Here is a 23,342-nt window from a genome sequence, read left to right as displayed (position 1 = left end):
TTGTGAGGTTTAAATGAAAAAACATAAGTAAAGAAAACTTGCTTCTAATCTCCATGAGTATTCACAAACTTGGATTGGCCTCCCCAAACTAACTCCAATCCTCTGAACTTTTAAGACTCATCTTAAGCGTCTCCTTCTAATATGACCTCCCTCAGGGCCCCGACTCAAGCTTGATTCCTCCCTCCACTCTGTGGTCATCTCTATGGCAACACATTTAATGTTGTGTTTTATTAGTTGGTTTTCTGATCATTCTTACCCACTAAACTGTGGACCATTTTGGAGGCCAAATTCTATCTTCAATCTATGTATTCACAGAGAATGAACCATGTCTAGAATATTAGTTGGGGTTCAACAATTATATGTAAAACTTTCAAAGGAAAGGAATTAACATTAAAAAAATAGTCAACCATATACCAAACACTGTGAAAGGCACTTTCACATACATAATTACATTTAATTCTTTCCAGAAACCATTTTTACAGATGGAGAAATTAAGACACAAAGAGGTCAAGTGGTTTGTGCAAGGTCTCACAGCTAGAGGGTGTTGGACTAGGATCCTATTCCATTTCTATTTGATTCCCAGAAGGCTGCCTCAAAAAACTACAAATTCACTTCCTTAATGACTTCTTTACTCTTCGGAATTTTCTCAATCTGTCATGTCTCTATGCTTTTCAAAGGGGTCAGAAATATATTATACATGTAATATATGTATAAATATAACAAATATGTTTAACGACATTTGAAAGACAACTTGATTTTTGAATTAAAAACGTTTTCTTCACATAGAACCTTTAAATGCATAATTGCCTTGACTTGAGTGGATTATCTGAATTATTGGTTGGCTCCGAACACTCTGCTTTAGAGTTTAAGTCAAATTATTTTGAGTACTTTACTATCGACTTACTGTAATATCAGGCCATAATGTTTGCATTGTGGGTGTTAAAACATAATCATGTTGATTTCCATAGATGTAAATGAATATTGGTGGTGTATGCCGACAATTCATTGTATAATGGCTAAACGTTTGCTAAGAAAAATGGATTCATTGTTTTACAAAGAAAATGAAGTTTTCTTCTCATAAATCCTTCTTATAAATTTCAAATTTACAACTCAAAGGAATTTTAGGTCTTAAGCACAGAATAAGACCCTAAGGAAAAGAAGTGCACCACAGTGATTAAGGAAACAGACTGAAGGCAGAAAGACCTGAGCTGAAGTGATTTCTGTCTTTGCTAATTACTTGCATCATGACTTTGGGTGTATTACTTATCTTTTTCAAGCCTCAGTTTCCTCATTGGTAAAATAGGCATAATAAGAGTGCCTACCCTATAGGATTATTGGGAGAATGGAATGGCATCCATGTAAAAGGGTTGAGCATAGTGCCTGGGCCCCTGCTGAGCATTTAATAGCTATTAGCTACTGTTTCTCTTCATAACTAAGTCTTAAACAGTTCAATTATGGCTACCTGACCATTTAAAAAAGCTTTAAATTCCCAACCAGTATGGACAAGCCTAACCACTAGAGACATGTACAGAGGAGTCAGGAAGCTTGGCCCAGCTAGACTAGGGGCAATTAGGGTGAGTCCCATACCAAAGGCAATGAGTAAAGTGAATCTTAAAGGGAGAAGAACTCATTAGAAAGGAAAAGAAGAATTGGGGTGGGTGTGAGGAGGACAAGCTGGCCTAGGAATATTCCTGGGCACTAGAGGGTCAGAAATTTACTTTTGCTTATTAGTTTCAATCTCATAGCATTTAAACATTTTATCCCTAAATAGAATGATGAATAGTTACTTTTTGAAACTGTACAAGAAATATTGATGTCATAGACAATATCTCATTACATATAAAATTTTTTGACATAAAATGCACAGAATGTTAGACAAATTTATTTACCAGGCTTCATGCTGTTTTATGAGGTCTAGAACAAATAAAAAGTTTGTTCTGGCTCTATTTTTTTCAAGCAGGAATGAGTCTGAGAAACTGCAAAGAACTTTGTTGTTTTATGTTTTTCTATAACACTTACACTTCTATTTCCCAATATGATCTTAATTAAATATTAACTCAAAATATTAAGATGAAGACCATTGATCATGGTTTTTTTTTGAAAAAATGGTACTTGTTGCAGTGAGAATCAACTTGAGAATTCATAGTCTTGAAATTTCTTATCAAATACTGATTTTATAGTTTGTTCCTTTTTAAAAATCATGAAACTTTTTCATTTCTTATAAAACATAGCTTTATAAAAATAAAATGAAATAAATTATTGCAAATAAAGAAAATAAAATATGAAAATCTTATTTCAGTTTTTACAAAATTAACTATGCATATTAAAAATGAAGCATACCTGCTAGGAATAAATAATATAGACTGATAAATTTCACACCCAAAGGATTTTTATGTTTCCTTCTACCTACAATAATGAGCCTCTGGGCTCACACTGAGTAGGGAAGAAAGCTTTTAAAAACATAGTCCATGGTCATTTTAAGCTCTGCATTTTTATTCTTCTCTGCTTTCTCCTTCCCAGATTCAAAGCCTCCATCTGTTGGGCCACAAAGTGGATTGTTTACTCTGACCATATGAATAGATAATCCCTTTCACTCAGGTCTATGTCTTTAAAAAGATATTAAATCTTTGCACGGTTGAACTACTTTTATGACTTCATTTCCAATATTTGGAATGTTTAGGTTCCAAGGGTTATATCCACACTGTCGGCAAACAGTGACATCTTTTTTTTTGAAATCAGTTTAATTAAGTTTGTTCACATATGGTACAGAGTCATATGGCATAAGATCATTTGACTATATTTTGGTATTCTTCCAAATCCTTTAAATCCAGCCCTCTTAAAATATAATTAATTGCTAAAGAGGTAAATTAATGTATGGTAAATGTTTATCCAGCAAAACTTCCCTCAGTAAAAGTCACTTTGATTTCCAGTTGGGTTTACTTAAAAGAAATCGCCCAACAAACTTGATTTGGTATTGAGAGAGGTGATATTCTCAATGACATGGCATATTTCTGCTTCAACTATTTAAAGAGAACATTTCTTGGAGTTACATGGAGGGCTTCCATGTTTTGAATTTTAAAATATTGGTTTATTTCCGTTTACTATGACTGAATCTGTAAGTTGGAACCAAATTGGCAACTTTGTGATAACTCATAATAATTGGTTAGCAAGCTAACTACTGCCAATCACTTCTATTTTGTAAAAGAAATATGGCCAAATTAAATGAACTTTGCCCATTATTTTGGCTACTTTGTTGACTAATTCACATCTGTCACCCCTGGATGTCCTTCACTCACATGTTGGCCTGTCCAGCTCCTTCAAAGTCCAGCTCAAAGGCTACCTCTTCCCTCTGACCTCTGTATTGCTCTAGCTAGACACTCCTTCTAGTATCTTAATGGGCTTGGTTTGGGCAAGTATCAGGCACCTGATAGCCAACAGACTGCCTGGTCCAATAGTTAGGTGTATACGTGTCCCATATCTCATCTAAATCATAACTGATTTGGGGCAAAGTAATGTTTTATACATTTGTTTATTTCTGCACATTGGCTTCTATGTATCAAGGCTTAATAAATGTTTATGGAACAAATTAAGAATTTTTTGGCCCAGTATTTGGCTCTTACAATTAGTAATCTTCGTGGCAGCTCCTAGTGTTCTGAGAAATAATAATCAATATCAATTATAAAGTGCTTAGAGTGCTCCTGGCATCTAACAAGGCATTTTATTTATGTTATCTCATTATTTTAAAAATAACTCTCTATGTTAGGGTTTATTTTCACTGTTTTTTTACATGAAAAATGTGAAGCTCAGAAAAGTTAATTGACTTGCCTGTGATTACTCCTCTAGTGTTCAACATAAGTGGAATTCAATCACACATCTTTGTGATTCCATAGCTTGTACTTATTTTGTGAACAAATAATGTCCCTCAGGAATGATTACCATTGTACAGGTAAGAGAACTGGAACCAAGAGAGCTTAATAATCTTGCCCACGGTTATACAGAAAATAACCACCGCTGAAGCTTGTGTTCATTTATCTTTACTAGGTGAGTTTTTCACTGCCTGTTTCCAACTGAATTTTCTTAACTCAACATAATAGTATTAGTTACCTGTCACACTGTTGGAATGGGGCTCAAATTTTGAAAAGTACATTATTACTGTTCATCCTCTGGGATTACTTAAACAATTCTATTCATTTTAGATGTTTATTTATTACATTTGTTCCTGATGCTTGGTGAAAATAGGATAATACAACAATATCTTCTTTCCTTGTTTTCCCCCTTTGCTTCTGTTGACTCTTTAAGTATGTTCTTTAAAGAGATGAATTAAGATATGTGCTTCTGATGTCACCACAAATAAAAAGACCTACAGAGATGTCCATGTACCTCAGAATCATCTTTGGTTATTTAGCAGGAGTATTAGTTTAAACATGGTGTGTCCATGGCACACTGGATAGATTTTGAGGAAGTGGAGAGAACATTAATGACAAGATAGGGGCTCAGGAAGGAAGTGAGAAAAGAAAGTAAAAAATACATTGTATCCAAGTGAAAAATAAGTTAGATGTATGGCCTTGGAATCAAGATAAAAAAGAGGGGAAATTCTATATGTGGTTATTTATAGTATAGTTATGTATGTTCATAGCAACATTGTTGCTCAGAGTGCTACTAATTTAGAGACTTTATACTAACTTAGAAATTTTTCTTTTTTTTTTTTTTTCAAAGAATGCTGAACACTGCTTAGGGAAAGAGGAATATTTACAGTTGACAGAGAACTGTCAGGACAGGTCTTCAGGGGCTCAGGCTGAACATGGGGGAAGATTCCTCTAGTACATGGAGTACTTAGAGTGAGTACCATCACTGCCTATGTCTAGGCATCTATTCCTGAGCCAACCTATGCATGGACCAAAACACCTTGAACAGGTGATCTCGGAGATGCCATACTGCCAGTGTGGGTGTTTGGAGCAGTTAACCCTTGTCTTTTTAGAGGGTATCTGCCAATCACTCCAAGAGCCCTTGTTAGGTTGACATCAGCCCAAGCCTCCAGCAGGCCAGGGATTAGGATCCGTGCATGTTATGGGACTAGAAAGTTCATGTCCAGAAGATCCAGGTGGCTGAATGTTTTCTTTGGTAACATAAATGTGACCTACTGGAAATGAGACATATAAAGGCAGTCTGAGGTCAGATTCCTATTTTTCTCTTGCCTACCCTGTAGCTCCAGTTCTTAACCCTGGCTGAACATTGGAATCAACCTTGGAAAATTTAACAAATAATGATGCCTGGGCCACACTGCCAAATATTCTGATTTAATTGGAATGAGGTGTAGCTGTAGAATGGGATTTAGATAATCTCCTCAAGTAATTTTAATGGGCAACCAACACTGAGAGCCTCTGCCCTAAAGGACATCTTCCTTCCAGATATAACACATATTTATTTTGCTTTCCTTCCTTGCTGGCACTGCCATGGACAACATCCATTTTTCTGACAAAACACAAGTGACCTGACTTTGTCCTCTACAGCTGAGAAAAAGGGATAAATCTGAGCATTTTTATAAAATTAAATGTAGCAACTACAAATAATTACCAGTACACTGTTAAGCTTATTGTGGATAGAGTTTTGCTAACAAAGAGAAGCATTTTCTACTTACTAGAAAGGCATCATCAATCATTAAATGTATAATTATAATATTAATATGCCTTTCAGGAAAATGCAAAAGACATTTAATAAAACAGGGCATTACTTCCTGAGTATCTAATTAATTAAAATTATTTTAATAATTACAATAAGGATACAATTATTTTAATAATTACAATAAGGATACAGATAATGTGAATGTATTTGTGAAGACTGGGGCATATATAGCATGGGAATGTTGTCAACTACATATCATTTTGATATTTCCCCATTTTTACTTACTTTCATATACATTATATAATAATATTTTCTGGCCAGGGACAGTGGCTACCACGTTTAATCCCAGAGCTTTGGGAGGCTGAGGCTGGAGCATTGTTTGAGTCCAGGAGTATGAGATCAGCCTCGGCAATATAGTGAGACCTCATCTCTGAAAAAAAAGAAAAACCAAATAGCTGGGCATGGTGGTGTGTGCCTGTAGTCCCAGCTACTCAGGAGGCTGAGGTAGAAGAATCACTTGAGTCCAGGATTTCAAGGCTGTAGTGAACTATGATTGTGCCACTGCACTCTAGCCTAAACAACAGAGTGAGACCCTATCTCTTAAAAAAAATTTCCCATAACATTTGGAGTTTAATTATGATTATATTAAAGTAAATGGCAAGTAGTAAAGTAATAGTCATGACAATAATGCTGGAGATTATGATTTCAATATTACACAAGCACCATGAAAATTGGATTTAAGTGGAATTTTTATTAGCAAACTTCCTTTCAATGCACTGGGAAAATCTAATATGAAATATATTTTATTTTGAGTCTTTTTATAAAGTGAATTACTAAAAATATGTTTTTGCATTGATTTGAATTTCCATATACTTTTTTCAAAGTAATTATTAAAATATTGTTTTTCCTTTCTTAAAACACATGTTTCATCACCTATTCCAACTTGATTGCCATTTATTTCTATTCCAAATATTAGGGTGGCAATATCTTGTGAGTGCACATCTGATGCTTATTTTATTGCATATGGTTAGTGGGATAAAATGACTTCTCAGAAATTAGAATTTGGGTGTTTTGTGACCTTTTAAATTTTTTTAAGCAGAAAAAAAATTTGAAAAATGTAATAAAGAACTTTTTAAAAAGACAGGGTGAAGTATTAAAAACAATATTTCACAGACCAATAAACTTTTCGTTCAAACCACTATTTATTTGAAAAAAGGATATTGATGTGGTCTTACCAGTGCAGAAAACACAACTTAGCTATTATTCCAGTAGTTTCCATTGTAAAAATTGAGGCTGAATTGAAGTCTGAGAAAATGTTTCATAGCACAACTGAAAGAAAATAAATTTAGGTCAAACACAACTGCAATCTAGAGTGTCCTTACCTTTTCCAGTCTTACAACAGGTGGATCTCAGAGCTGAGTTCTGGTGCTGAATTTGGAAAGCACTTAAGAAGAAAGTTAACAATTAGTTTCTTTCTAGGCTCTCTTAGACAAGAAAAGATTCATGTTCTGAGACTTGGAAGAGTAGTTGACTCCATGAGCCAATGAATGAAAAGGAAGAGAATAAAAGACGCATCCACCATAAGAAAATGCTCCTCTCAAAGCTGTCACTTTACCTTGTCCTTGGAAGAACTTTCCAAATTGCTTAGGATTCAGCAAGTGTTTAATTAAATAAATGTATAGGCACTAAATCTGGAGGTCTTAGTAACCACCTTGAGGTTTAGTGCCTATACATTTATTTTAAAATCATTCTTTGAAAAAGACTAATAACACAGGCTAAATAGTCTTAAAACAAATGAGTGTAACACACATGTTTTCAGGCTTCCTTTTGATCCCGTTTGTTTTAAGCCCAAGAGGTGGGGAGAAGCCATGTTGTCTGTGCCTCTGTCTCTCCCACAATGCCTTACAAAGTGTCTTACTCAGACTGGGTCTTGAGAGAATATTTATCAAATGAATGAAGATACAATTTTAAGGTTGGGAGGACATTTATAAGTAACATAGTCCAACCCTCTTATTTTAAAAGCCAAGACAATGAGACCCAGAGAAGAAAATGACCAGCCAATGGTCACATTGCACTTAAGATCAAAGCTATGGCTGTGACCTAAATTTCCTAACTCATGTTGCAGTGCTGTTTCTACTCCTCCACTTTTATAAGGTAAATAGGAAAATTTGCCAGATATTTTTCAAATTGCCCATGGAGAGTGGTCCAAATGGCAGGTGCAGCCACCGGACGTGGTTACTTGATCTGTTCAGTTGTATTTACCTTTCAATATGTTTGCTTTCTGAACAAGAGAGGCCAGCTCCATTAGGTAAATGACTAATCCACTAAAATGGAATCTAAATAAATGAAGTGGCATCTTAGAGCTGTATGCTGTTATGGGGTGGGGGCTGTCAGGGACAGGAGAAGGAAGACTCAGGGAGAAAAACCTAATAAAATGTTTTCTTTTTTTTTTTTTTTTAAACAAAACAGCTATGCTTCTCATAAAGGTTTGAAAACAATGCCATTGTGTGTTTTGAGACCAAATGGTTTTTATAACTTCTTTGTCAATAAGTATGCCCTCTTTTTCTAAAAATGTAGGTTAATAGAAATATAATTAGACATTTGCAATTCTCTTACAATAACTTTATCTGACTGTCTCTTTACAATGATTAAAAGATGTTAGAGCATTGCATTCTGCTATGAGCAATTTGTTTCATCAACCATTCATTTATTTTTTTAATTCATTCAGCAACACATGCAGGGCATCTACTGTGTTTTAAATATTATATTAAGTGCTTAGGATACAGAGTCAAGAAAGCCACAGTCCCTGACTTCTAGGAGCCTACAGTTTTCTTGGGGAAGTGTACATTCACATAATTTTAATGCAATGTAAAGTGCTCCTTGCATTAAAGATGGCATAACTCCAATTCTGCGTATCATGCAGGGTAGAGACACTTGGGAAATGTTGCAAAAAATATAATATTGGAGTGAATTTTGAGGTAGGAATTGATTAGCATTTCTTTTAGCCTGGGACATGGAAACAGCGGTTCTGGCATTAAATAAAGACTCCAACTATAAGCCTACACACAGTCCAACTACTCTTATGTCTTGTGAGTGCACTATTAATTCAGTTCTCATGACTTCAGGAGCAAGTGTGACTCCTCAGAGCTGTGGAGGTTGTAGGTAGGCTGTGAGAACTCTGAAACCAGATGGTCTGGCCTCAAATGCCCAGCATCATGACTTGCTAGCATGTGTCTCTCCTGTGTTTTAGTTTCTTCATTTACTAAGGGTGATGACAATAGAAGCTATATCTAGAGCTGATGTTGAACCCATGTGCCCTTGTATGGTCTTATCGTCTTATCTACTTCTGGCTGGCATCTGTTTAGGTCGCTTGATGTCTGGACTATATAGTCTGTGAGGCATTTTGAGGATCTCTATGATTGACTCATAGAGTTACTGTGAGATCCAAATAAGAAATACATGGTGAAGATTTATCTTAGTGCCTAGCACATGGTAACACCTAATAAATGTTGACGTTTATTATATGATAGTAATAATATTTATTGTATGTAGTATATTAGTAAATGCTTAGTGGTGTTAATAATTCTGAATATGAAGAATTCCAATAAGGTATCTTTTGCCCATAGTAGAAGTTCTATAATTGTTTCTGTGTTGAATGTCTCATTTTCAGAGTGGTGTTTACTGGTAATATAGTCTCTTTCCTACTTCTGATTTATTTCCACAATTCTTCCAAGATAGGATGCAAGCCAGTCTCCATCTGGAAGTTCAGGAGCACTTTGTCTCTAGTTCCTTCCTCCCTTCTGATAATAAAGCCGTCACCATCTGCATCTTCAGTATCTCCTTCCTTATCCCCAGACCAACATGGTTTAAAAGAGTACTGAGTAGACTAAGTCTCAATACCTATTCATGCACACCCACTTCCAAGGGAAATCACCCACCCTTGCCCCCCTCAACAGCTGATTGAACCAAAGATGGATACCTGACTCATGGGGAACTGATCCCAGATTAACAAGCTAACCACCTATGGTCTGATACAGGAAGATAGGCAGGGCCCATGAGATTCTGTTATGGTAGGAAACACGAAGGGAATTTTCTAGCTAGTAATATAGCTGAAGGAGCGGGTTGACTCTTAGAATGGTAAGCCAAGGCCAGTTGCAACCAAAATTGTGAAAGACCAGAAAACACATGGATTGGAAGAGGTGGAAGATGGTTTTCAGAAAGGGAAAGACATCCTGAGAGTGGTGCAGAGAGAAGACAGGTGAGACATGGGAGAAAAATAAGAAGGAGTCCGATTATAGTTGATGCCAAGGGCTACTTGGGACCCTAATGACTTTGAGTTTTTATTCTGATGGTGATCATGATGATGACAACAAAGATGATGATGCTGACAATGATTATAACAATAGGTAACATTTCATGAGCGTTGTATGTGTTTTAAGCAGTATTTTAAGTCTTTACATGGATTAACTCAATGCTCACAAGAAATCCATGAGGAAGATTTTATTTTATCCAAATATTATAGAGTGCCTATTTGTAGCCTTACAAAAACTCCCCATATGCACTAATTCTTACTCATATACCCTTGAGAAAAAACTAAAAGCCCAAGAAGAAAACTAGAGCAGAGACTAGCCACACTCCCAAGTGCAAGCCCAATGGCCCAGCCACAGTTGCCCACAATTCTCCTCAGCTGCCAGCCATGGTCGACATCTGCAGTACCAGGGTCAATCCCTTAACTAGGATTCCTTATCCCTTTATGACTCCATCGAGCTTATAGAACTGGCTACTACCACCTTGATTCAGACCACGTCGCTGGCTGTTCCCTGGTCCCTCTTCCTTTAGTCTTTCAGGAATCAGAGCTCAGTCCTGGCCAACTGATTTGACTGGGGCATCCTACAGCTCTTTCTCACCGTGCTGCACTCATAGGGCCTTCATTCCCCTCTGTTTTCCTAGATCAAGGGCATAATCTCTCCCAAGGATGGACAGAGCTCCTGGAAGCAGCACAGCAGTCATGCTGGCTCCAAAGAAACAACAGTTGTTGGGTTTTCCAGCTGGAGTTTATCCTTTCAATAATTACCACTGGGACTCCTACACTCCTCAGATTATATCCAAGCAGTGTAGCTGCTCTCTGGTCCAGTGGTGCCCAAACTCTAGTGTGCATTTTCTGGGGGATTCTTGTTAGAATGAAGATTCTGGTACAGTAGGCCTGAGATTCTGCATTTCCAACAAGTTCTCAGGCAATGCCAAAGCTGCTGATCCACAGACAATACTTGGAGTATCAAAACTCTAGAGAAGACTCCTTCTCTAAAGAATCATAGTATTTTAGGCTCTGCTGGCCATGTCATCTGTGTTGCAACTATTCAGCTGTACTGTTGCAGTGTGAAAGCAGCCACACACAGTAGGTTAAAAAAAAAAAAGGATGTAGCCGTGTTCCAATATAATTTTACTTACAAAATCAAGCCATGGCCATGTTTGTCCCATGTCCCTTCCTACTCTACTCTGGGGAGTTCAGTAGAATTTTACTTACAAAATCAAGCCATGGCCATATTAGTCCCATGTCCCTCCATACTCTACTCTAGGGTGCAGATTTGTCTTTCTGTAGTGGCAGCCACAATCCACCACATGCCTCCTGCAGTATATTAATCGCATTGATGGCCTCCCTATATCTACATTCATTGCAGTGTGATGTTGCATATTTCTTCTTCAAGAGGTAGAATCTCTTTCTCTTTTACTTGAATCCAGGTTTCCTGTGACTTTCTTTGTCCAACGGAACATGATAGAACTAACGTAGCACCAGTTACCACCTTGGTCCTCAAGAGGCCTTCCACCCTTTAGCTCTCTTGGAATCCTTCCTTCCCCAAAGGAACAAGTCTGCACTAACCAATGAAGGATGAGAAAGCACAAGGAGGAGAGCCAAGGCACCCCAGTAACTGCAGAAGCAGAGCTGTTGACAGATGCATGGGGGAGTCCAGCCAAGACCAGAATTGCCATGCTGAGTGCAGTCTAAATTGCCAAATTTCAGATTCAGGAATAAACAAATGAATTTTTATTGCACGTCACAGAGTTTGAGTTGGTTTGTTATGCATTAAAAGCTAACCAATACACCTGCTATGTGATAAACAGGCGAATTATCAAAGATCTTCTGAACTACCCCATACATTCAGTATTATGTCTATTTTACAAATAATGAGCCAAGATTCAGCTAGTAAACTTGCCCAAGGGAGCACAGTGGGTAAGTGACAAAGCTGGGATTCTAACTGACTGCAGACCCTGGGATCTTGTCACTGTGCCAATATTGTCTGTCATCTCAGTTAGGTTTGATATCCCCCTCTTCATTTCCATCCTCAATCCCAGCATCTCCCCAACAATGCCACACACACACCATTGTTGAAGACTAGACATTCAAGCCCACCAGGAAAAGCAGCCAACACTGATATTGAGGGAGTTTTGTAAAACAACTCTACAGTTGTGTTATACCTCTTAGGCCAGATTGCCTGTGATATATTTCAGAGCAGGCAAGATTTAACCTCAAATATAGCCAAACTAACATGCTAACAAGCTACTTAAGAAATATTGACATTTGTATACTATTTAAAACTTTAAAAAGTATAGTGCTTCCTTGAAAGAAATATTAATGCACCTTTTGCAGAGCGCAGACATTGGATGAGGATGTAATGCTTCCCTAGACACCCTACCTACGATATGCTGCTGAATCTGCCAGGTCTATAGTCCTTTTTGTGAGCAGGATTTTTGGTCTCATAGATTTAACGAAAGATTGATTTTCTTCCTTCTTTGACAAAGATAAACCTCATGAAATGGTGATTTAATTCACAACACAAAAGCATGAAAGCCCCCCTTAAAATTAAAAGAAGTCCTCACACAAAAAAGCAGGTTCATTCACAGTAATGGACCACTTTACTTTTTTTTTAAGGCAATAGAACTTTGCTAATTCTCATTAATGACAGAGGGGGCCCATTGTAGAAGAACCAATTTTACTGATTACTGAATCGTATAAAATATTCTGAGAAAGAAATGAAATCTTGGTCATTCAAGACCCTCCATGTGTCTTGCTGAGAAATATGCACCCACTGCTGTTTTAATTGGGAGAATAATCAGGTTTGCAGTTTAGTGAACTGAGATAATCACAAATACCATCCAAGTGCAAACCTACATTTCAGCCATGATTAAAGAAGACACTTTCAGGTGATAAAACTGAGCAGCTTGCATGGGGTAAATCAACAGCTCATTGAGTTCAAGGTAAGTGTTTTCAGAGATGTGTTTTTCAAGTCATTTTTCAAGTCATTGAGGGAACAAGATTTTCTGTTGTTATTGAAAGAATTTATTCATCTGGCAAAATCTGGCCCAGTAATTTATTATCTCAGTTTTACGCTTAAGCATCTCAGTGTTAACATAGCATTCTGACATGTAAGATCAAAACTTGTTGTCGACTTAGAATACACACCAGGTTCACAATGCACTTTGTAGATGACTAAGATTCTGAAAAGTGACAGGTAATTAGAATATTTAAATAAAATTTATTTGTTCATAAAGAAAAAAAATAAAACATTTGGAAAATATGGAAGTTCCTGAAGTGCAATCTCAGAGCATTTCCTCAATGGTAACTGGGCTGTAGATGTGGCAGAGAAATTATCTTGCATGACTTACCTTATTTCCAGAACCACAAGGAGCATTTCTGAGCTATTTTGCCAACATAAACCACCACCATAGTTGGCAAGAATTTTAAACTAAGTTATTCCATAGTTAGTGCATGCATATGTCTTAAGCTCAAATTTCTTCGTGGCTTTATTTTAAAAACATAAATTCAACATGTAAATGGGAGGTAGTTATAGTTGGATCTCCAAGCACAATATTAATACAGTGGTAGTGGTTAAACACTACCATGTGAAAGGCACTGCTCTAGAAACTTTGCATATATGAACTCTTTTGATGCTCATTTCAACACTATCAGACACGAAGTGTTATTAAAGCCACTTAGAGATGAATAAGTTGAAGTGCAGGGAAGTTACTTACATACATGTAACACTATGCATAAACACATGAGGAAGTTATACAGATGGATTTTATTATAAATCATAAGAGAAATGTTAATAAGTTTCCAAAAATTAGTATACCAACAATGGATTAAAATAATTGTATACCATGACCGATTGGTATTTACCTCAGGTATGCAAGGCTGGTTCAACATTTGAAAACATCTGAAATAATGGGGATGTGGAATAAGAAAATTTTAAGTTGGAAAGAAACTTCTAAAACAATCATTAGGTTATAGTTTTCTTGACCCTCATATTGAATCTCTCCTGGTTTCTTTAGCCAGTTCAAGTTAACAGAAAATAGGGACAAATCTAGCTAAAAAGGAAATGTAATTTTACTTGTCACAAAGCCTCCCATGGGTGTAAACTGAGCTGCCAAATTGATTCAAGTTGTTTTAGCACAACTCTGGAACATCTGGGTCTTGAAATACACAACAATTAGTATAAAAATGTCAGAAGTATTTATGGAAGTCTATTCATATCCAACAATTAGTTTGCTGTAACTCAGAACACTTATGACGTTCAGGCAGATAGACACTTTCAAAATAATTTTTAAATAATGAAATTATTGCCATGAAACATTTTGCATTTGAATATGGAAATTTGCATATTTTTTTAACATTTATATATTGAATTCTTCCTCGGTAATGTTGGGACTACAAAAATGAACAAGATTAATTTCCAGACGTCAAGGTATTCAGTAATCCAGTAGGAGAAAGAAAGTATGTTCATGAAGATTATCATGCAGTGTAAAATAGAACAATTCATAACTGAGCAATAAAGTAAGTGCTGTATATATGTTCAGAAGGAAAAACCTGAGATGTCTCATAAAGGACCTGGTGGGTTTTAATATGTGTCTGTGGGTTGGGGAAAGACATTATAATAGAAGAAGAGGAGGGAACTGAAGGAACAAAGGCAAGACAGGGTTAGAAAACAAAGCAAGTTAAGTGGTCCAATGTATTAGTGATTTTTGGAAAAAAGTCCAAGAAAGTAAATTTAATGTAAGATGTAGTGAGATCCATGATCCCCCAGTACACTAGGCAGTAAATGGGATCTGCTGTGTACCAATGGAGTAGGCATTAGCAGGGTGAGGGTCCATTTGGCATTGTTCTTACCCAAACAATTTTTTTTCAATGAATATAACAGTAATACTAAGAACCCTTTCCTCAGTCCTCCCACTTCCTCAGATTCACAAAAAAGTCACCATGACAAATCTCTTTAGAATAACAATCACACACAAAATTATAAGATATAGAAAATGAGAAGAATAAAATTGATGCACTTATTCTAATAGGCATAAATGGAATATTGTACCTAAGCACATGAACAACAGTTATATAGATGGACCATATCATATATCATAAAGAATAAAGCAACAAACTTTTAAAAATTAGTATACCAACAATGTATAAAGAGAATTACACTCCATGACTAAGTGGGATTTATCCCAGGGATGCCAAGGCTCAGGATTCAAAAATCGATTAATGCAATCCATTGCATCAACAGGCTAAAAGAGAAAATCTACATAACATATCAATAGATTTAGAAAAAGCATTTGACAAAATCCAATACCCATTCATCATAAAAACTCTCAGTTTCTATTTATGTGAGAATATAAATAGAGAGGAACTTCCCTAACTTGTTGAAGTATATCTACAATTTAACCTATAGCTAATACTGTACTTACCCACTAGCAGCAGGAGTAAAGCAAGGATGCCTCTTTTCACCACTTCTTTTCGATATCATAATGAAAGTTCTAGCTAATGCAATAAGAACAAAATAAATGTATATGGATTGGGAATTAAGAAATAAAACTGTCTTTCTTTGTAGGTGACATGACTGTCTCTGTAAAAATATCTGTAAAGTTCCTGGACAAAAACCCCTGGCAAAAAACTCCCGGAACTAATAAGGTTGCAAGGTGGAAGGTTAATATATAAAAGTCAATCACTTTTTTGAACACCAGCAATGAATAAGTGAAATTTGGAATTAAAAACACGATACCATTTACATTAGCACTACCCCTAAATTAAGTACTTCAGTATAAATCTAACAAAATATGCACAAATTCTTTATGAGAAAAACTACAAAACTCAGATGAAGGAAATCAAAGAACTAAATAAACAGAGAGTTATTTCATGTTCCTGGATAGGAAGACTCAATATTGTCAAGATGTCAGTTCTTCCCAACTTGATCTATAGATTCAGTGCATTCCCAATCAAAATCCTCAAAGATTATTTTGTGGATATTGGCAAACTTATTTTAAAGTTTATATGGAGAGGCAAAAAACGCAAAATAGCCCGCATGATACTGAAAGAAAAGAACAAAGTTGGAGGACTGACACTATCTGACCTCAAGACTTACTACAAATCTACAAATCAAGACAGTGTGGTATTGGCAAAAGAACAGACAAATATAACAATGAAATAGAATAGAGAGACCAAAAATAGAGCCACATAAATATAGTCAATCGATCTTTGATGAAGAGGCAAGGGCAACTCAATGGAGCAGAGATAGTCTTGTTAGCAATGTTAATTTAGTGTATAGTTCAAAGTTGCTAGAAGAGCAGGATTGGAAGATAGATGTTTGAGGTGACACATATCTCACTTACCAGATTAGACCATTTCACATTTTGTGATGTGTCAAAATATCACATATACCCCCCCAATAGGTACAACTATTATGTATCAATAAAAAAACTCAAAACTTCGAAATATTATTTTAAAGAAAGAATAGTGTTGAACCAACTGGACATTCAAATGTTTTCAAATGCAAAAAAAATGAACCTAGACGCAGACCTTACACCTTTTACTAAAATTAATTAAAAATGTATCATAGACATAAATGTAAAACACAAAATTATAGAACTTTTTTTTTTTTTTTTTTGAGACGGAGTCTAGCTGTGTTGCCCAGGCTGCAGTGCAGTGGCGTGATCTCGGCTCACTTCAAGCTCTGCCTCCCGGCTTCATGCCATTCTCCTGCCTCAGCCTCCTGAGTAGCTGGGACTACAGGCGCCTGCCACCACACCTGGCTAATTTTTTTGTATTTTTAGTAGACATGGGATTTCACCGTGTGTTAGCCAGGATGGTCTCGATCTCCTGACCTCATGATCCGCCCGCCTCGGCCTCCCAAAGTGCTGGGATTACAGGTGTGAGAGACTGCACCCAGCCAAAACTTTTAAAAAATAACATGAGAGAAATGTACATGGCTTTGGATTTGGTGATGACTTTAAAGATAAAACTTCAAACGCACAATCCATAAAAGAAAGAGTCGGTGAGCTGGATTTGATTAATATAAAAAAATTCTACTGTGCTAAAGATACTATAAAGAGATTAAAAAGAGAAGCCACAAACTGGGAGAAAATATTTGCTAAATGCATATCTGAGAAAGGACTGTTATCCAAAATACAGAAAAGATTCTTAAAACTCATTAAATATAAACCAAACAATATGATTTAAAATTGGCCCAAAGACCTAAACAGACTTATCACCAAAGATATCTAGGTGGCAAATGAGCATATGAAAAGATGCTTCACATCATGTCATCAGAGAAATTCAGATTAAAACAATGAAATACCACTACACACCTATTAGAATGGCCAAATCTGAAACACTGACAACATCAAATGCTGACAAGGATGTAGAACAACAGGAACTCTCATTCATTCCTTGTGGGAATGCAAAAGGGTACAGCCACTTTGGAAGACAGTTTGGCAGTTTTCTACAAAACTAAAAATACTCTTACCATATGATCCAGCAATTGCACTTCTTGATATTTACTCAAAGGAATTGAAAACTTATGTCCACATAAAAATCTGCACATGAATGTGTATAACAGCTTTATTCATAATTTCCAAAACTTGGAAGAATCCAAGTTATTTTTCAGTAGATGAACAGATAAACAGACCGATACATCCAGACAATGGATGTATCATGATGAGTGCTAAAAAGATGTGAGCTACCAAGCCATCAAAAGACATGGAAAAAACTTAAATGCATGTTACTAAGTGAAAGAAGACTGTTTGAAAAACTGCATACTGTATGATTCCAACTATACGATATTCTGGAAAAGTGAAAACTATGAAGTTTTCATAGACAGCAATCAATGGTTGTGAGGGGTAGTGAGGAGGAAGAAATAAATAGGCAGAACACATGAATTCTTAAGGCAGTCAAACTACTTTGTATGTTACTATAATGGTGGATATATGTCATCATAAACTCATGCAAACCCATAGAATGTACAGCACCGAGGGTGAACCCTAATATAAACTCTGGACTTCAAGTGAAAAGGATGTGCCAATGCAGCTTATCAGTTGTAATAAATGTACCACTCTGGTGGGGGATACTGATAATGGTGGAGGCTATGCATGTGTGAAGGCAGGGATATATGGGAAATCTCTACACTTTCTGCTCAATTTTGCTATAAAACTAAAATTGCTATAAAATGTGAGGTCCATCGAAAACATTATATGTCAGACCACAACAAAATTAAGAATCAATTTTTAAAGGATAATTTAGAAAACCTCATACACTTGTAAATTTAAAATGTGCTTCTAAATATGTCATAGGTATAGAAGAAAATATACTGGAAATTATACTGTAAATATTATATAAATAATAAAAGACAGTATGTATAAAAACTTTTGGGATATAGCTAGAGCAGAGCCTTGAATGCTTAAATCTAGAAAAAGAAAGGTCAAAAATTATGAACTAAAAATCCAACTCAAGTTATAAGCAGAACAGCATAAGTCCAAAGAAATTTTTAAAAATTATGTTTAATATAAAAGCAAAAAATAAATGAAACAGCAAATCAACATATAACTGAGAGAATCAACAAAGTAAAAGTTAATTATTTTAGAAGACTAACATTTATGTAGCTGGTAGGATTAATGAAGACAGAGAAGGAAAACTTCAATAATTTCGGGAATGAATAAGTGAAGGAGAGGCCATTGTTCTCCAGTGGTAGTGGGGGTCAGACAAGAGGCCTTGTCAAATGTGGCATCTTTGAAGATGACTCTGTGATGGACACATGTTAAAATAGTCCTTATGATTCTTGTTTCCTGGTATTCATTTCCCTATATAATCCTCTCCTCTTGAGTGTGAGTGGATCCTGATACTTTCTTCTAAGTGATAGACTATGGCAAAGATGAAGGGCTATCACATCCATGACTATATTTCATTAAATAAGACTCCTCCTTGGTACCAAGCCAGCTTGCTCTAGAGTAGTTCTTTCTGTCAGTTGCTGGCTTTGAAGAAGGAACATTTTATGACTCCTTCAGCCATTAAAAAAAAAAATTCTTCCAACAACCCAAGGGAGCTTAGAAGCAAGTAGTTTTCTCTGCCAAGCCACCAGATAAGAACTCAGCCCTTGCTAACATGCTGTTTGTGGCCATGTGAAAACCAAGCAGAGAACCCAGCTAAGCTGTGCCCATACTTCTGGTTCATAGAAATTGTGAGATAATAATTGTGTGTTGTTTTCAGCCAATATGTTTAATAATTTAAATTCAATGTAATTAATATTTGATCATTTAAACAAATCACTTAGCCAATAATTTGTTTTGCAGCATAGACCAGTAATATATGTTCAATAAACTCAAACTTTATCAAATTGTCAGGTTTACAAACTTTTTCATGAACTCTGGCAAACTTCATGGGTATGCCTCAAAACTCTCACTCCTCGGATGTGGTGGCTTCTTGACATTTCCCACAGGATTCGGTTGTAGCTAACTTGTGTAATAAAATACTATTTATTGCTGAAAACAAATGAACTGTAGCTATATGCATTAGCATATATGAATCCTAGAATACTATGTTAGAGAAACAAGTCAAGTCATAGAAGAATAAAAGTAAAAAATGAGATATAGAATTATTCAATTTACATAAAATTCAAAGATTCACACACTTCCATATAGTCATTCCCTCTGGGAGTCTGGATGGAAAATAAAAATGTGGAAGGAAACACAAGGGACTTCAGAAGCACTCTTCAGTTGGATGTGGTTACAAATAATCATTGTATTAATATATTTAAATCTTATGTTTCTTTTCACACAAAATGGTAAGACTAGACTAATGTATACCCAAGTACACACAAACCAGCTTAAATAAATAATTATAAATATAATTGACGATCCCTGCTTACTGTTCCATTCTCTCTCTTCCCTCACCTTCCCAAACACAACCACTGCCTTGCTTTTGTGTTTTTGAATCGCTGAGAGAATCTCAAAGCAAAGCAACCAGAGCATTGGTCATACTCTGCCTGGAGCCTGTACTATCACGGGACTTCCTGCTATGTGAAATAATACATTTCCTTATTAAGAGGCATGCAGAAACCATCCTAACTGATAAATGAAGACCGGAAATATCCTCCTTTAAGACAAAAGTGAAGAGGCAGGAAGGAAGGCAGATGTGGAGAATTACAATGAAGAAAGGGATACTGAAGATATTCTCATTAATTCACTTTGATCCCAGTGAGAAAGAAGAAGAGGGTATCTGCTTGAAGTGATGAGAACATATGTTGTTGAGGATGAGTAATAATTTTTATACACTGTGTATAATAGGTGTGCAATTAATGTGAATGACTGAATAAAGAAATCAATGAATGAATGGAATGAGGTTATGTTTGTAGACTGGAAGAAACCAGTGAAGAGGAAGAGACTGAAGGTAGAGGAAAAGATGAGAGAAATAACAGAGCAAGATTCCCAAGTGAGAAGTGAGAGTGGCAAACTCCTGGGCTTGATCTAGAATGCTTCTTATACCCTACACAGGGTGAGATCATTATTATATTAGTGGCTTGATGTGGGACATCTGCATGGGGACAGAGTAGATCCATCCATACAGAGACAGGAGAAATTGCTCTTATAGAAAAAAATGTAGTAAAATATACTCAGTACAAGGGAAATATGTAAATTTACATTTGTATAGAAAGTATTTCAAGATATACCAGGACAGAAGCCTTCCCTTCATCCCCAGTCTCACTTCCTATAGTCTCACCTGCAAGGCCCTGATGAGATTGTCCACTCCTATCTGCACATGCCATGAACATTGTCAGGCCTCTGAGCCCAAGCCAAGCCATCACATCCCCTGTGACTTGCACGTATATGCCCAGATGGCCTGAAGTAACTGAAGAATCACAAAAGAAGTGAATATGCCCTGCCCCACCTTAACTGATGACATTCCACTACAAAAGAAGTGTAAATGGCCGGTCCTTGCCTTAAGTGATGACATTACCTTGTGAAAGTCCTTTTCCTGGGTCATCCTGGCTCAAAAAGCACCCCCACTGAGCACCTTGCGACCCCCACTCCTGCCCGCCAGAGAACAAACCCCCTTTGACTGTAATTTTCCTTTACCTACCCAAATCCTATAAAATGGCCCCACCCTTATCTCCCTTTGCTGACTCTCTTTTGGACTCAGCCCGCCTGCACCCAGGTGAAATAAACAGCCATGTTGCTCACACAAAGCCTGTTTGGTGGTCTCTTCACACGGACGCACATGAAATTTGGTGCCGTGACTCTGATCAGGGGACCTCCCTTGGGAGATCAATCCCCTGTACTCGTGTTCTTCGCTCCATTAGAAAGATCCACCTATGACCTCAAGTCCTCAGACCGACCAGCCCAAGGAACATCTCACCAATTTTAAATCAGGCAAGTGGCCTCTTCTTACTCTCTTCTCCAACCTCTCTCACTGTCCCTCAACCACTTTCTCCTTTCCACTCTTCAATCTCTCCCTTCTCTTAATTTCAATTCCTTTCATTTTCTGGGAGAGACAAAGGAGACACATTTTATCCGTGGACCCAAAACTCCGGCGCCGGTCATGGACTGGGAAGGCAGGCTTCCCTTGGTGTTTAATCATTGCAGGGACGCCTCTCTGATTATACACCCACGTTTCAAGGGTGTCAGACCACACAGGGATGCCTGCCTTGGTCCTTCACCCTTAGCGGCAAGTCCCGCTTTTCTGGGGAAGGGGCAAGTACCCCAACCCCTTCTCTCCTTGTCTCTAACCCTTCTCTGCTTTTCTGGGAGAGGGGCAAGTACCCCTCAACCGCTTCTCCTTCACCCTTAGCGGCAAGTCCCACTTTTCTATGGGGCAAGAACCCCCAATCCCTTATTTCCACACCCCAGCCTCTTATCTCTGTACCCCAATCCCTTATTTCCGCACCCCAACCTCTTATCTCTGCCCCAATCCCTTATTTCCACACCCCGACCTCTTATCTCTGCACCCCAATCCCTTATTTCCTCACCCCGACCTCTTATCTCTGCACCCCAATCCCTTATTTCCGTGCCCCAACCTCTTATATCTCTGCACCCTAGTCCCTTATTTCCACGCCCCGACCTCTTATCTCTGAGCCCCAACCCCTGTTCCCACTTTTCTGGAAGGTAAGAACCCCTGAACCCCTTCCCTCCATTTCTCTACTCTCTTCTCTAGGCTTGCTTCCTTCACTATGGGCAGCCTTCCAACCTCCATTCCTCCTTCTACTCCCTTGGCCTGTGTTCTCAAAAACTTAAAACCTCTTCAACTCACCACCTGACTTAAAACCTAAATGCCTTATTTTCTTCTGCAATGCCGCTTGACCCCAATACAAACTCGACAGTAGTTCCAAATAGCCAGAAAATGGCACTTTGAATTTTTCCATCCTGCAAAATCTAAATAATTCTTGTTGTAAAATAGGCAAATGGTCTGAGGTGCCTGACGTCCAGGCATTCTTTTACACATCAGTCCCTTCCTAGTCTCTGTGCCCAGTGCAACTCGTCCCAAACCTTCCTTCTTTCCCTCCCGCCTGTCCCCTCAGTACCAACCACAAGCGTCGTTGAGTCTTTCTAATCTTCCTTTTCTACAGACCCATCTGACCTCTCCTTTCCTCCCCAGGCTGTTCCTCACCAGGCTGAGCTAGGTCCCAATTCTTCCTCAGCCTCTTCTCCTCCGCCCTATAATCTTTTTATCACTTCCCCTCCTCACACCTGGTCGGGCTTACAGTTTCTTTCCGTGACTAGCCCTCCCCAACCTGCCCAGCAATTTACTCTTAAAAAGGTGGCTGGAGCTAACGGCATAGTCAAGGTTAATGCTCCTTTTTCTTTATCCCAAATCAGAAGCATTTAGGCTCTTTTTCATCAAATATAAAAATCCAGCCCAGTTCATGGCTCGTTTGGCAGCAACCTGAGATGCTTTACAGCCCTAGACCCTAAAAGGTCAAAAGGCTGTCTTATTCTCAATATACATTTTATTACCCAATCTGCTCCCGACATTAAATAAAACTCCAAAAATTGGAATCTGGCCCTCAAACCCCACAACAGGACTTAATTAACCTCACCTTCAAGGTGTACAATAACAGAAAAAAGTTGCAATTCCTTGCCTCCTCTGTGAGACAAACCCCAGCCACATCTCCAGCACACAAGAACTTCCAAACGCCTGAACCGCAGCAGCCAGGCATTCCTCCAGAACCTCCTCCCCCAGGAGCTTGCTACAAGTGCTGGAAATCTGGCCACTGGGCCAAGGAATGCCCGCAGCCTGGGATTCCTCCTAAGCCACGTCCCATCTGTGTGGGACCCCACTGAAAATTGGACTGTTCAACTCACCTGGCAGCCACTCCCAGATCCCCTGGAACTCTGTCCCAAGGCTCTCTGACTGACTCCTTCCCAGATCTTCTCGGCTTAGCGGCTGAAGACAGACACTGCCCGATCGC

General features: G+C 37.6%; 1 protein-coding gene across 9 annotated transcripts in view, besides 1 other annotated feature; it reads left to right on the top strand.

Annotated features, from left to right (window-relative positions):
- Window positions 1–23,342, top strand: part of C12orf42 (chromosome 12 open reading frame 42) — a 516,167-nt gene that overhangs the window by 314,527 nt on the left and 178,298 nt on the right. For 3 of the 9 annotated variants that reach the window (NR_103526.2, NR_170334.1, XM_017019281.2), the window contains one exon: window positions 11,362–11,673. The exons of the other annotated variants lie outside the window; for them this stretch is intronic. Coding sequence is in view for 1 of the 3 variants with exons in the window: in XM_017019281.2 (XP_016874770.1) it covers window positions 11,362–11,410 (49 nt within the window). In the remaining 2 variants the exon portion in view is untranslated. Of the gene's footprint in view, window positions 1–11,361; window positions 11,674–23,342 lie in introns of those variants that run through there. 9 annotated transcript variants of the gene reach the window in all.
- Window positions 20,569–21,149: an enhancer, noted in NCBI's record as "OCT4-NANOG-H3K27ac hESC enhancer chr12:103621893-103622473 (GRCh37/hg19 assembly coordinates)". NCBI's record gives its function as "activates a minimal SCP1, AML or CMV promoter by ChIP-STARR-seq in primed H9 embryonic stem cells {active_cell/tissue: H9 hESC(primed)}" and the evidence as "EXISTENCE:reporter gene assay evidence [ECO:0000049][PMID:30033119]".

Source organism: Homo sapiens, chromosome 12, assembly GCF_000001405.40.
Source record: "Homo sapiens chromosome 12, GRCh38.p14 Primary Assembly".
In the NCBI taxonomy this organism is placed as follows: domain Eukaryota; kingdom Metazoa; phylum Chordata; class Mammalia; order Primates; family Hominidae; genus Homo; species Homo sapiens.
Note: the sequence above shows the minus strand (reverse complement) of the source record. Positions and strands in the feature narration are given on the sequence as shown.